The sequence below is a fragment of the Homo sapiens genome, chromosome X (genome assembly GCF_000001405.40).
Source record: "Homo sapiens chromosome X, GRCh38.p14 Primary Assembly".
NCBI classification, from domain to species: Eukaryota; Metazoa; Chordata; class Mammalia; order Primates; family Hominidae; genus Homo; species Homo sapiens.
Genome location: NC_000023.11, coordinates 140249304 through 140263157, shown reverse-complemented (window position 1 = coordinate 140263157; position 13854 = coordinate 140249304). Strand labels below are relative to the sequence as shown.

At 41.1% G+C, this 13854-nt stretch overlaps 1 annotated feature.

Moving 5' to 3' along the window:
- Positions 11947 to 13190: an enhancer, noted in NCBI's record as "VISTA enhancer hs667". NCBI's record gives its function as "enhancer in: neural tube[9/11] | hindbrain (rhombencephalon)[9/11] | midbrain (mesencephalon)[9/11] | cranial nerve[8/11]" and the evidence as "EXISTENCE:transgenic organism evidence [ECO:0001131][PMID:17130149]".

Here is a 13854-nt window from a genome sequence, read left to right as displayed (position 1 = left end):
AGGTGGCTTAAAGAGTTAATGGTAAAAATGAAACTATAAATGGATAGATAAAAATAAAAGTGAATATTTCATATAGCTTAGGGCTAGAGTAGGACTTTCGTAACACAAGAGCAATAGAAAAACTAAAAAAAATGAGTAAACTGTGCATATTCTCATTTAAAGAGATCATAAAAAGCAGTAGGAAAAACTTACAGCTCAATAGAGAATAAAATAGAAAAGGCCATAAATAGAGAAACCTAATCAATATATTTAAAATGTTAAACTCTACATGTAATAATACAACTACAAATTTACAAAGTAAGCATTTTTGGTCTAGTAATTAGCAAGATGTTTTTGTTTGTTTGCTTGTTTTATTACAGCATTACATTTGGTGAGAGTGAGATGAAACAGTGACCCTCAATACTGCTGCTGAAGGTATACATTGATACAGGTTTTCTGGAAAGCAAACTATCAATTATTTTTAATTCAGTTTTACCTGGTAATTTATTTTTTGGGAATATTTCCAAGTAATGCTAGTGCTACTTATAATATTGATAAAGGAGTGCAACGGAAAGCCTCACTGAGATAAAAATGGTTAAACAAATGTTTTACAGCCTTGTAATTGTGCAGCCATTAGTAGTAGTGTCATATATATATATGTGGAAATCCTCAAATACATTAAGCAAAAATCAAAAGTGGACCATTCAAAATTATACACTATGATCCCAATTTTTTTAAAGATAAAAGTAAATATATACACAGACAAAATTGGGTGGAAATACAGCCCAATGGTATCCCTGAGTGATGGGACTACAGGTGATTTTCATTTTCTTTTTAACTTTCTGTATTTTCCATTTTCTCTACAACAGATATGTATCATGTTTATAATTTAAAGGAATCACAAACATTATTTAAATGTTTTTCTCTGCATTCATCCATTCATTCACCCACCTATGCATTCCTCTCTTTCTCTTCTTCTGCCAAGTCTTATTAAAAAAAACCTGTGTTCCTTCTTTTGTCATAGGCTCACTTCCCTTATAGCCAAGGGGCATCACTTGATCAATTAATTATTGTTTTTTTACAGTTCTGCTTCTCTCTTCTCACAGACTCTCTTATCTCTCCTCAGAGACTTCTCCACCCTTACACAAGGTCACAGTCCTATTAGCCCTGAATCACTTTTACTTAACTCTGTGGTCACTCTGCCACCCTCATGTTTCACTATGAACACCTTTTCAGTGTAGTCTTATTCACTTCATCTTCTTCTTTACTAACTACTCCTTAAACCTTTACAATCTGGCTATCAAATCCATTATTGACATGCTCTCCTAAAGATCACCATTTTTAACTGCCTACTGCAAGTGCTTCCTACCAGTCCTTAATATCTCCACCCCCTCAGCAGCATGTGCTAGCACTCATGAAGCTCTCTTTCATGGAACCATGGCTTTGGAGACGTGGCTTTCTACTTTTTGCTTCCCCTCTCACCTCTCCCACCACCATTTTCTTCTTCCAGCTTTCCTTCTTCCACCCTATTTCTAAATGAAGTGATATTTCTGGCTTATGATGGTTAATACTGTCAACTTGATTGGATTGAAGGATGCAAAGTATTGATCCTGGGTGTGTCTGTGAGGGTGTTGCCAAAGGAGACTAACATTTGAGACAGTGGTCTGGGAAAGGCAGACCCACCCATAATCTGGGCAGGCACCATCTGATCAGCTGCCAGCACTACCAGGATATAAAGCAGACAGAAAAATGTGAAAAGGCTAGACTAGCTTAACCTCCCAGCCTACATCTTTCTCCCATGCTGGATGCTTCCTGCCCTCTAACATCAGACACCAAGTTCTTCAGCTTTAGGACTCAGACTGTCTTCCTTCCTCCTCAGCTTGCAGGTGGCCTATTGTGGGACCTTGTGATCATGTGAGTTTAATACTCCTTAATAAACTCATATATATATATATATATGTTTATTATATATATAAATAATTATATTATTAAATATAATAAATTAATATATATATATCCTATTAGTTCTGTCCCTCTAGAGAACTCTAATACAGATTATGGTACCAGGAGTGGTTCTAGAGGAACAGAATATTAAGGATAATGTTCTTTCATTGGTTTTGGGGTTTCTGGAGTTGGCTGCTTAATACGATTAGACCCCAAAATGCTAAGGACTCTACTTCTAAAAGTATGGAGAACACTGATAGTCCTTGGCATGAACTGTTTAGAGAGATATGCAAAATAAAGTCATTTGACATTCCTGATTCACTGCTCATAAGAGGCAAGTTACTCTATACATAATACCTTTGACTACATGTGGAGAACCAAGGAACATAATAAAGTTGGTTGGTTGCTCCTGAGTTCACTGGACAAAGTGTTGAAAGATGATGATGAACTCAGGGATTCTATGTTCCAGCTTCAGAAGCAGATACTTAGCCTCAAATCTGCTAAGATTGCCCTGAGTGAGAGTTTTATCTCCTGTATAGAAAGAGCTGAAATTGTGGAAAAACAGACACAAGCTCTTATCATGCAAGTGGCTGACCTGAAATGAAAGGTGCATGCACAGCCTCACCAGGTGTCTACTGTTAAAATGAGGCCATTGATTGGAAACAAATGGGACCCTGCAACTTGGAATGGGGACTTATGGGAGGACCCTGATGAAGCTGGGGACACTGAGCTTGTAAAATCTGGGTGTGACACTGAGCTTGTAAAATCTGGGTGTAAAATCTGAAGAACCATTTTTGCCAGAAGAAACAGCTTCCCCATCCCCAGTAGCGGCAACATCCCCTCCCTGACACATGCTGCCCTTTCCACCTTTGTCTGCGGAGATAAACCCTGCACTGCCTGAGGCAACAGTGATGGCCTCCCCTGAGGCAGTTGCCAAGCAAGATAATGCTGATTCTCCTCAGGAGCCACCCCCAACACCGCTGTTTGCTTCTAGATCTGTAACTAAAGTCCCAGTGGGCCCCTAGACGTGAGGTTCAGAGTGTGACCCATGAGGAGGTGCACTACACTCAAAAGTAACTAGTTGAGTTTTCTAATTTATATAAGCCTGAATCTGGAGAACAGGCATGGAAATGGATATTAAGGGTGTGGGATAATGGTGGAAGAAACAGAGTTGGAACAGGCTGAATTTATCGATTTGGGCCCACTAAGTAGGGACTCTGCTTTTAATGTTGCAGCTCGGGGAGTTAAAAAAAGTTTCTAATAGCTTATTTGCTTGGTTAGCTGAAATATGGATTAAAAGATGGCCCACTGTGAGTGAGCTAGAAATGCCTGATCTCTCTTGATTTAATGTAGAGGAAGGGATCTAAATGCTTAGAGAGATTGGGATGGTGGAGTGGATTAGTCACTTTAGACCTACTCATCCCAGCTGGGAGGGTCCAGAAGATATACTCTTGACCAGTGCTTTGCAAAATAGATTTGTGAGGCAGCACCTGCATCTATGAAGAGCCCTGTAATTGCTCTTCTCTGTATGTCAGATCTAACAGTGGGATCTGCAGTCACTCAACTACAAAATTTAAATTCAATGGGAATAATTGGATCCCGAGGTGGCAGGGGCCAAGTGGTGGCACTCAACCACCGAAGGCAAGGTGGGCATAGCTACTGTAATGGACAGCAGAGGCAAAGCAGCAATCAGAATAGTTTGACTTATGTAGAGCTCTGGCATTGGCTAATTAATCACGGTGTTCCCAGAAGTGAAATTGATAGGAAGCCTACTATATTTCTACTTAATTTATATAAGCAGAAATCTTCAGGTTGAATGGACAAAATACTAATTTGAATTATAGAAACAGAGAATTATGGCCCCTTAATCAATTTCCAGACTTGAGCAAGTTTACACACCCAGAACCCCTTGAATGAAGGGGAGGCTGGGTCCCCTTAAGGAAGGACCCCAATACAATACTGACAATTTATGCTGCTAATCTTTCTCCCATCCTTCCCCAAGGAGACCTCCGGCCTTTTATCAGGGTAACTGTGCATTTTGAGAAAGGGAAATGATCAGATATTTCGGGGACTACTGGACACTGGCTCTTAGCTGACGTGGATTCCAGGGGACTCAAAATGTCATTGTGATCCTTCAGTTAAAGTAGGGACTTATGGAAGTCAGGTAATTAATGAAGCTTTAGCTCAGGTCTGACTTACAGTTGGTTCAGTGGGTCCATGAACTCATCCTGTGTCATTTCCCCAGTGCCAGAATGCATAATTGGCATAGACATACTTAGCAGCTGGTAGAACCCCCACATTGGCTCCCTGACTGGGAGGGTGAGGGCTATTATGGTGGGAAAGGCCAAATAAAAGCCATTAGGGCTGCCTATACCTAGAAAAATAGTAAATCAAAAACAATATCGCATCCCTGGAAAGAGATTGCAGCAATTACTGCCACCATCAAAGACTTGAAAGACACAGAAGTGGTGATTCCCACCACATCCCCCTTCAACTCTTCTATTTGGCCTGTGCAGAAGACAGACGGATCTTGGAGAATGACAGCGGAGTATTACAAGCTTAAACAAGTGGTGACTCCAATTGCAGCAGCTGTACCAGATGTGGTTTCGTTGCTTGAGCAAATTAACATATCTCTGTGTACCTGGTATGCAGTCATTGACTTGGGAAATGCCTGTTTCTACATTCCTGTCCATAAGGCCCACCAGAAGCAATTTGCCATCAGCCGGCATGGTCAGCAATATACCTTTACTGTCCTACTTCAGGGGTATATCAACTCTCTGGCTTTGTGTCATAATCTTATTCAGAGAGACCTTGATCTCTTTTCGCTTCCACAAGATATCACACTGGGTCCATTACGTTGATGGCATTATGCTGATTGGATCCAGTGAGCAAGAAGTAGCAAGCACACTGGACTTATTGGTGAGACATTTGCATGCCAGAGGATGGGAAATAAATCTGACTAAAATTCAGGGACTTGCTACCTCAGTAAAATTTCTAGGAGTCCAGTGGTATGGGGCCTGTAGAGATATTCCTTCTAAGGTGAAGGATAAGTTGCTGCATTTGGCCCCTCCTACAACCAAGAAAGAGGCACAACATCTAGTGAGCCCACTTGGATTTTGGAGGCAACACATTCCTCATTTGGGTGTGTTACTCCAGCCCATTTATCGAGTGACCTGAAAGGCTGCCAGTTTTGAGTGGGGTCCAGAACAGAAGGGTCTGCAACAGGTCCAGGTTGCTGTGCAAGCTGCTCTGCCACTTGGGCTGTATGACCCAGCAGATCCAATGGTGCTTGAGGTGTCAGTGGCAGATAGGGATGCTGTTTGGAGCCTCTGGCAGGCCCCCATAGGCGAATCACAGTGGAGGCCTCTAGGATTTCAGAACAAGGCCCTGCCATCTGCAGATAACTACTCTCCTTTTGAGAGACAGCTCTTGGCCTGTTACTGGGCTTTGGTGGAAACTGAAGGTTTGACTATGGGTCATCAAGTCACCATGTGACCTAAACTGCCTATCATGAACTGGATGCTTTCTGACCTGTCTAGCCATAAAGTAGGTCGTGCACAGCAGCATTCCATCATCAAATGGAAGTGGTATATATGTGATTGGGCTCAAGCAGGTCCTGAAGGCATAAGTAAGTTACATGAGGAAGTGGCTCAAATGCCCATGGTCTCCACTCCTGCCACCTTGCTTTCTCTCCCCCAGCCTGCACCAATGGTCTCATGGAGAGTTCTCTATGATCAATTGACAGAGGAAGAGAAGACTAGGGCCTGGTTCACAGATGGCTCTGCAAGATGTGCAGGCACCACCCGAAAGTGGACAGCTGCAGCACTACAGCCTCTTTCTAGGACAGTGATGAAGGGAAATCTTTCTAGTGGGCAGAACTTCAAGCAGTGCACATGGCTGTGCACTTCGCATGGAAGGAGAAATGGCCAGATATGCTATTATATTCTGATTCACAGCCTGTAGCCAGTGGTTTGGCTGGATGGTCAGGGACTTGGAAGAAGCATGGTTGGAAAATTGGTGACAGAAATTTGGGGAAGAGGTGTGTGGATGGACCTCTCTGAGTGGTCAAAAACTGTGAAGATATTGGTATCCCATGTGAGTGCTCACCAACGGGTGACCTCAGCAGAGGAGGGTTTTAATAATCAAGTGGATAGGATGACCCATTCTATGGACACCACTCAGCCTCTTTCCCCAGCCACCCCTGTCATCACCCAACGGGCCCATGAGCAAAGTGGCCATGGTGGCAGGGATGGAGGTTATGCATGGGCTCAGCAACATGGACTTCCACTCAACAAGGCTGACCTGGCTGTGGCCACTGCTAAGTGTCCAATTTCCCAGCAGCAGAGACCAATACTGAGCTCTTGATATGGCACAATTCCTTGGGGTGATCAGCCAGCTACCTGGTGGCAGGTTGATTATATTTGAGCTCTTCCATCACAGAAAGGGCAGAAGTTTGTCCTCACTGGAATAGACACTTACTCCGGATATGGGTTTGCCTAACCTACATGCAATGCTTCTGCGAAGACTACCATCCATGAACTCATAGAATGCCTTATCCACTGTCATGGTATTCCACACAGCATTGCCTCTGACCAAGGCACTCACTTTATGGCTAAAGAAGTGCAACAGTGGGCTCATGCTTATAGAATTCACTGGTCTTACCATGTTCTTCATCATCCTGAAGCAGTTCGATTGATAGAACGGTGAAATGGCCTTTCAAAGTCACAATTACAACGTCAACTAGGTGACAATTCTTTGCAGGTCTGGGGCAAAGTTCTCCAGAAGGTCGTGTATGCTCTGAATCAGCATGCAATATATGGTACTGTTTCTTCTATAGCCAGGATTCATGGGTCCAGGAATCAAGGGATGGAAGTGAAAGTGGCACCGCTCACCATTACCCCTAGTGATTCACTAGCAAAATTTTCACTTTCTGTTCCTGCGACATTATTTTCTGCTAGCCTAGAGGTCTTAGTTCCAGAGGGAGGAACACTGCTACCAGGAGAAACAACAATGATTCCATTAAACTGGAAGTTAATATTGTCACTGGCCACTTTGGGCTCCTCCTACCTCTAAGCCAACAGGCTAAGAAGAGAGTTACAGTATTGGCTGGGGTGATCAACCTGAACTATCAAGAAGAAATCAGTCTAATACTCCACAATGGAGGTAAGGAAGAGTATGCGTAGAATACAGGAGATCCCTTGGGGTGTCTCTTAGTATTACCATGCCCTGTGATTAAGGTCAATGAGAAACTACAAAAGCCCAATCCAGGCAGGACTACAAATGGCCCACAACCTTCAGGAATGAAGGTTTGAGTAACTCCACCAGGAAGAAAACCATGACCTGCTGAGGTGCTTGCTGAAGGCAAAGGGAATATAGAATTGGTAGAAGAAGGAGGTCATCATCAATACCAGCTATGACCACGTGACCAGTTGCAGAAAGGAGAACTGTAATTGTCATGAGTATTTCCTCCTCCTTTTGTTAAAAACATGTTTGTGCCTGTATACACTTGTGCTATGAAAATACCTTCATTTTATTTCCTTTTTCCTTTATCATGTGACAGAAGATTTATTGACTTCATATCAGCATTTAAGTGTTGTTAACTGTATGTAATAGCATTTGGGTTGGGGATTGGTGCATTTCCGGTTGTATGAAGGAATAGTTGCATTATGTTAGGCGTAATTATGACCTTATTATTGTCTTTATTTGAAGATTATGTATGATCTCAGGAGATGTGTATGGGTTCAAGTTGACAAGGGGTGGACTTGTGATAGTTAATACTGAGGGTCAACTTGATTGGGTTGAAAGATGCAAAGTATTGATCCTGGGTGTGTCTGTGAGGGTGTTGCCAAAGGAGATTAACATTTGAGACAGTGGACTGGGAAAGGCTGACCCACCCTTAATCTGGGTAGGCACCATCTGATCAGCTGCCAGCATGGCCAGGATATAAAGCAGGCAGAAAAACATGAAAAGGCTAGACTGGCTTAGCCTCCCAGCCTACATCTTTCTCCCATGCTGCTGGATGCTTCTTGCCCTCCAACATCAGACTCCAAGTTCTTCAGTTTTGGGACTCGTATTGGCTTCCTCGCTCCTTGGCTTGCAGACAGCCTATTGTGGGACCCTGTGATCATGTGAGTTTAATACTCCTTAATAAACTCATATATATCTCCTATTAGCTCAGTACCTCTAGAGAACACTGACTAATACATGGTTCCTTTGTCTCTTTTTTCTTCTCCTTAGACTCTTTCAGTGCTTCAGGCTTCTAGTTTTACCTATTGCAGGCCTTACCTCTCTCCTAAATTCAAGTCCCACCTTTCCAAGGCCCTGCTCAAACTATCCACCCTGATGCCTGGCATGGATCTGTTGGAGAAATATCTTTCACCTCCCCAAACCTGCTCTTCTTCCATACCTGCGTATTTCTATAAATGGTGTCATCTCAGTTCCCCTTTAAAATATTCACATGACTTGGAGAAGCAAACTGTCTTTCCCACACCAATTACCAAAGCCTCAGCTTAGGTTCTTGGCATTTTTTTCTGGAGAGATGGAGAAGGCTGCATCCTGTATCTTTTTATTGGATTGATTCTCTGGTTAGGGAGGACCTCCTCCCTGTCTGTAGGAACTATAAGTGGGAAGTTTCCCAATAACCACTGCAAGCAACATTGGCAGCACATATTGGCAGCACAGACATCTTAAATCTATTCTAGGATATATTTTCTTCATTTTTCTTTAAATAGCCCACTTGGTTTCCAAAAGCCTACCACTGAGATGTAAAGTTGACAACCAGAAAACGTTTAAGGAAACAGAATGGAAGGGGCCAGAGCGATTTTGGGACAGAGGCAAACAGAGAGGAACAACCCTCAAATCAATTCCATAATTATGGCAGAACTCAGTTTATTGCCAATGTGTGCCATCAGGGAACTTTCCATTTTGCTTAGTAATTCTTGTTAACCAGGAGCTAAGCTTTGAAAAGCACTGTTTAAAATTGATGCACTCAGAATTTCATGGTCTTGGGCAAATCTATGGTCTCCATACTCTAGTGAAGGTTATACTTCATAGCAATTGGAATTTTCTTCCTCAGTCATGTGAGCCTGTTTTGCACATATGCTAACAGCTGCAGTCGCCATCAATAGGCCTAACAATGATTACCTTCTTTTGGGCTACACAGAAAAAGTTGCAAAAAACAAACAAACAAACAAACAAAAAAGTGCCTAGACTTTTCTTAAAGAAGAAAAATGCAAACATGCATGGGATTTTTCTTTAGTGTAGTCTCTGTGTTTTCCCCTTTTTTACATGGCTCACTTCTCTCCATCTTCTCCACCCACATCATTTACTCCCTACACCCCTTTCCACTCTACTACCCTTCCCACCTATGTTAAAAGCTTGGTATGTATCCTTTCATATCGTTCTTCATGGCCAAATAATTATATACAGGTTACATATACCATTTAAAATATGTATTAAAATGGGACATTTTTCTGCATCTTATTTTCATATTTAACAATTCTTCATAGAAACTCTTTCAAATCACCTGGTAGAGCTCTATTTTATTCTTTTTTATGTTTGCATAATATTTCACTGCATTGATGGCTTATCAATTTATTCAGGCATCTTCCCTATTAACAACATTCTCTTTGTTTTCATCTGTGTGCATGTGCATGACTACAGAAAATGCTATAATAAACAAACTTATATAGAGAGTATTGTACATTGGTGCTTATATTTCCATGGCACATATCCTCAAGAACGAGATTTCTGAGGTAAAGCATATTTCAGGATCTTTCAACATCTCTTCAGGAAGCAGCTGTATCACTTTTAAACATTTTGCCTGTCTGGTGGCTGTAAGGTGATATCGCATTATTGCTTTAATTTGAAACTCCTTGACTATTAGTGAATTTGAGCATTTTTCATAAGTTTGCTTAGCTTGTTAAATTACTATTCTGTGAAAGTGTCTCTTTACATCCTTTCTTGATTTTTTCTTTAGGTTGTTTTTTGCCTCCTTTGCCCAATTTACAAGAGCTCTTTGTGTATTTTAGACATACTTTCTATCTGCCCTTTGCATTACAAAAACATTTCTAAAATTATTATTTGTCTGTGGCTTTCATTTATGTTTTCATTTGCCATACAGAATTTTTAAATTCATATAATGTTTAGTAAGCCCCTCTTTCCTTTCATAGCTTCTGAGTATCCAATCTTGTCCTCTGTCTTGCACATATACTCCAGGATTTTTCTACAAGATTGTAATTTTTTTATATTTAAGTCTTCCTCTGGAATTTATTTTAGTATGTGATGAAAGATAGTATTTATGCAATATTATTTTTCTCTCAAAGGATGCCAGATGTATTATCACTTATTAAATTATCCATCTTGTTCCCACTGAATTAAAATATCATTTTGTAGTACCAGATATCCAACACATTATAATACCACCTTAATCTAATCAAATCAGTATATTATTAGCACTGTACTAAATAGATCAGTAGGACAGAAAAGAGAATCACATACTTGCTGTATTTGGATTTATATTGCTGCTATAAATTTTCAGAGGATTTTCTCTCCCTCCTTTTAGCCCCCAAAGAAGAACATGGTGACTAGCACCTAGGCCTAAGATATGGGTTTGAATCTAGGAACCAGCACTTGGCCTTGTGGAGCAAACCAAATTACCTTGCTTAGGCTCAGCTTCCTCATCTCAGAAAGGGATATTGTCAAAGGGATATTGTGAGGATATAGGAAACAAAGCTACATGAAGCACTTAGCATAATGCCTAGCACATAGTAAGCCTGTAGTAATAAAGGGTAGTTGCTACTTTGTCTACCCTCTTGACACCCATTCTGTCTTGTAAGCACCATGTCTTCTTTTTGTAACCCCACTGTGAGCTCCCAGAGGGCAGTCACTGTCTACTAGGTTCCTCAGCACTCAGACTGCCCTCAAAAAAGAATTAATCAGAATTGATCCTTGTAGACAATACTCTGTGCTTTGTCTGTTGTACCTTTCCCTACTATGCAGAATCGAGGCTGAGTGAGTCCTCCCTCCTCTGGGATGTACTTCTACCACTGGTTGCAAGAGTTGGCCCCTGTATGTCTCTCCTCTGCTAGGGCATGCTCATAGTCAGCTGTGGCTATTATTCGTTGTGCATTCTTGCACAGGGCACTTTCATTGATACAGTTACCTCAGCTTTGTCTCCCTAATGCCTAGCAGTCTGTGGCACAATGTAGGATACACAGTGAATTTTTCTGGGCAATTTTTTTCCACTTTAATTAAATCAATCAACTAGTGGGACAGGAATTTTTATACGTTATTTTAGAATTATTTAGTTTAGTTGAGAAAGCTTATAATATGGAAAAATAAAATTTTAATTAAGTTGAACCCTACTAACTAAGCCTTCAGTCAATCAGTTTCTCTCTGGTCTAAGCTTTGGAGGTGAGAAGAAAGTAATAGATAGCAACATCAAAAACCTCATCATCACATCAAGAATTCCTTTAAGTAGTGTTTCCAGATATAATATAGGGCTCCCAGTTAAATCTTAATTTCAAATAAACAATGAGAATTTTTTGTATAAGTATGTCCCAAAGATGACATGGCACAAATTACACCAAACAATTGTTTATTTCTCTAAAATTCAAATTGAAGAGAGTGCCTTATATTTTTATTTGCTAAATCTGGGAACCATATTAAAAATCCATGTTTCAGGGGACATTTGAGGAATTATAACTGATTCATTGGGATGCCCCAAGTTAAAGCCCTGGAGATTTCTCGTGTACACAGTTGGTGTTTAATAAATGTTGAATTGACTATAGAATAGTAATTATTAATAGTTACTTTTTGGTCATTGATTGTTTAAAGGCATGAAAACGGACAGATGTAAGCCTAGAAAGAATTTTGACAATAAGGAAGCCACAGAAAGGGAGTTTTTTAAATTAACCCTTTATTAACCAAATAGGGAAAACACACCCATTTGGGAGAGTGTCTCATGGTGCTGCTGGAAAGCACTTGAAATTTATCTTTACTTGTACATGTAAGGTTTCTAATTTTTTGGCTTAGGGCTTGAATATAACGATGTGTGTGTGTGTGTGTGTGTGTGTGTGTGTGTGCACGTGGGGAAATGGTTAGAGGCAGGGGGCAGGAGAGACAAGACAAGAAACGTAATGCCAATGAATGGAAAACAAAACACTTGAAAACTTTTCTTCTTGCTACATTTCATGGAGAGCTAATGGCTTTTTTAAAGTACTTTCAAAATCAGAATTGGTCAGTGCAGAGTAGCAGGCACAAATATGGCCTCTAGTGTTCTATTAATGATGGGATCAAATGAAGAAGCTCTTCTACATGCTATTTATGAAAGGGCAAGAGAACCAATGTAATGTTTAGTTTCTTGGAGGAAACTGAAAAAAAAAAATAATCCCATATTACCACAATACAGCATGAGTTCAATGCAAATGGAAAAGACTGGTGGCTTATTAATAGGCTCTCCCTGTAGCAAGCTGGCCTTCCCGGCTTCAGTTTGAAATTGATTATTTTAATACAGAATTCCTGAATGAAAGAGGTTCTTGGCCTTTTCCTGGGCTGTTGAATAATGTATGTGGGAGAAAGCAAATAGCAGCAGAGGGTCTCAGCTGCAGGAACAATGGCGCACACCCAGAGCTGAGGGGGCACGTTAGTTTATCATCGCCTTGTCAATCCTTCTAGCCTGGGAATCGCGGGGCAGCCTGGAAAGCAGCAGCTGCCCGACGTGTGGTGAACTGACCGGGGCACTTTAAAGAGACAACTCCATTTACCCATCTGAAAACAAGATATTGATTTTCCTCCAGTGCTGGAGAGAAAAGAGCCGTCCTGAAAATATATGGAGACCACCATTTATCCAGGCTCCTCCCCCACCAATCACACCACCCCAACTGCTTTCTTGGCTTCCTCGCCACAAAGTTCCATTTTTTCCTTCTTCACCTGGAGTGGGAAGAAAGCAACCCCCGCTTTTTTGCCTTCTGTGGACGCATCACTCTGAGTGATTTCAAGCTGAAACTAGAAAAGTACGTAATAACTGGAATTGGGGGACGTATTTTATAAATTAGAAATCAATTTTTTCCATCCACATGGAAATTACATATTACAGGAAACTTCAGACTGGCACTTTACAGGTTTCTTATCTCAAGCTGTGTTCATCTTAAGTCATTAAGGCAAATCTTGTAGCAACCTAGAACAATAACAACCTTCAACTCCTTAGATGGTTTTATCACAAGATAGTTTTTTCTTCATAAATAATAGCCCAGAAGATCTGAGGACCCAGATCAGATGAAAAAAAAATGTAGCTTATATTGCCACAGTAAGCCTCCATAAGTACTCCCTAGAATGGCAGGAGCTTGAAATCAACGTGCTACGAGCATGGGGAGAAGTGTAGCTCTGAATTGAGGCAGCCAGGAGGCCCGGCACCCGGAAGCTGACTTGAACTACTTCACAAGCTTCAAGAGACTGGAAGTGTGTTATTGGAGGTCAATTCTGATTTCTTTAATTGCTCATATCCACATGTGCTCAAAATTTCCACCATTCTGAGGAGAGTGGATGGTTGATACAGCACATCCTTCTTCAAAGAGGGAAAAGGAGCAGGTGAATGAAGGATGCCTCCCTCGCCTTCAACAAGATTCAGCCACTAAAAAATTAAGCAGGGACTCCAAATGCTGGATTTCCAAAATGGAATTTTTCCTCGAAAATTCCCTGTACTCACCACTACCATGAGAAGTCTCATAGAAAACCTGAGAAGTCCAAGGGAAAAAAATGGGGGTAGCGGGTGGAAAAAATGAGAGAGGAAAAACAACTCTTGAAAAGCAAATAGGAAAACCCACCCCTAGCTGCAGTAAAGGTAGGTCGGAAATGGCAAGTGCTGGCCTTAACCCTGTGTTTACCCCACCAGTATCCAGAAATGCAAGCTGAACATTGTGAGTGGGGCCC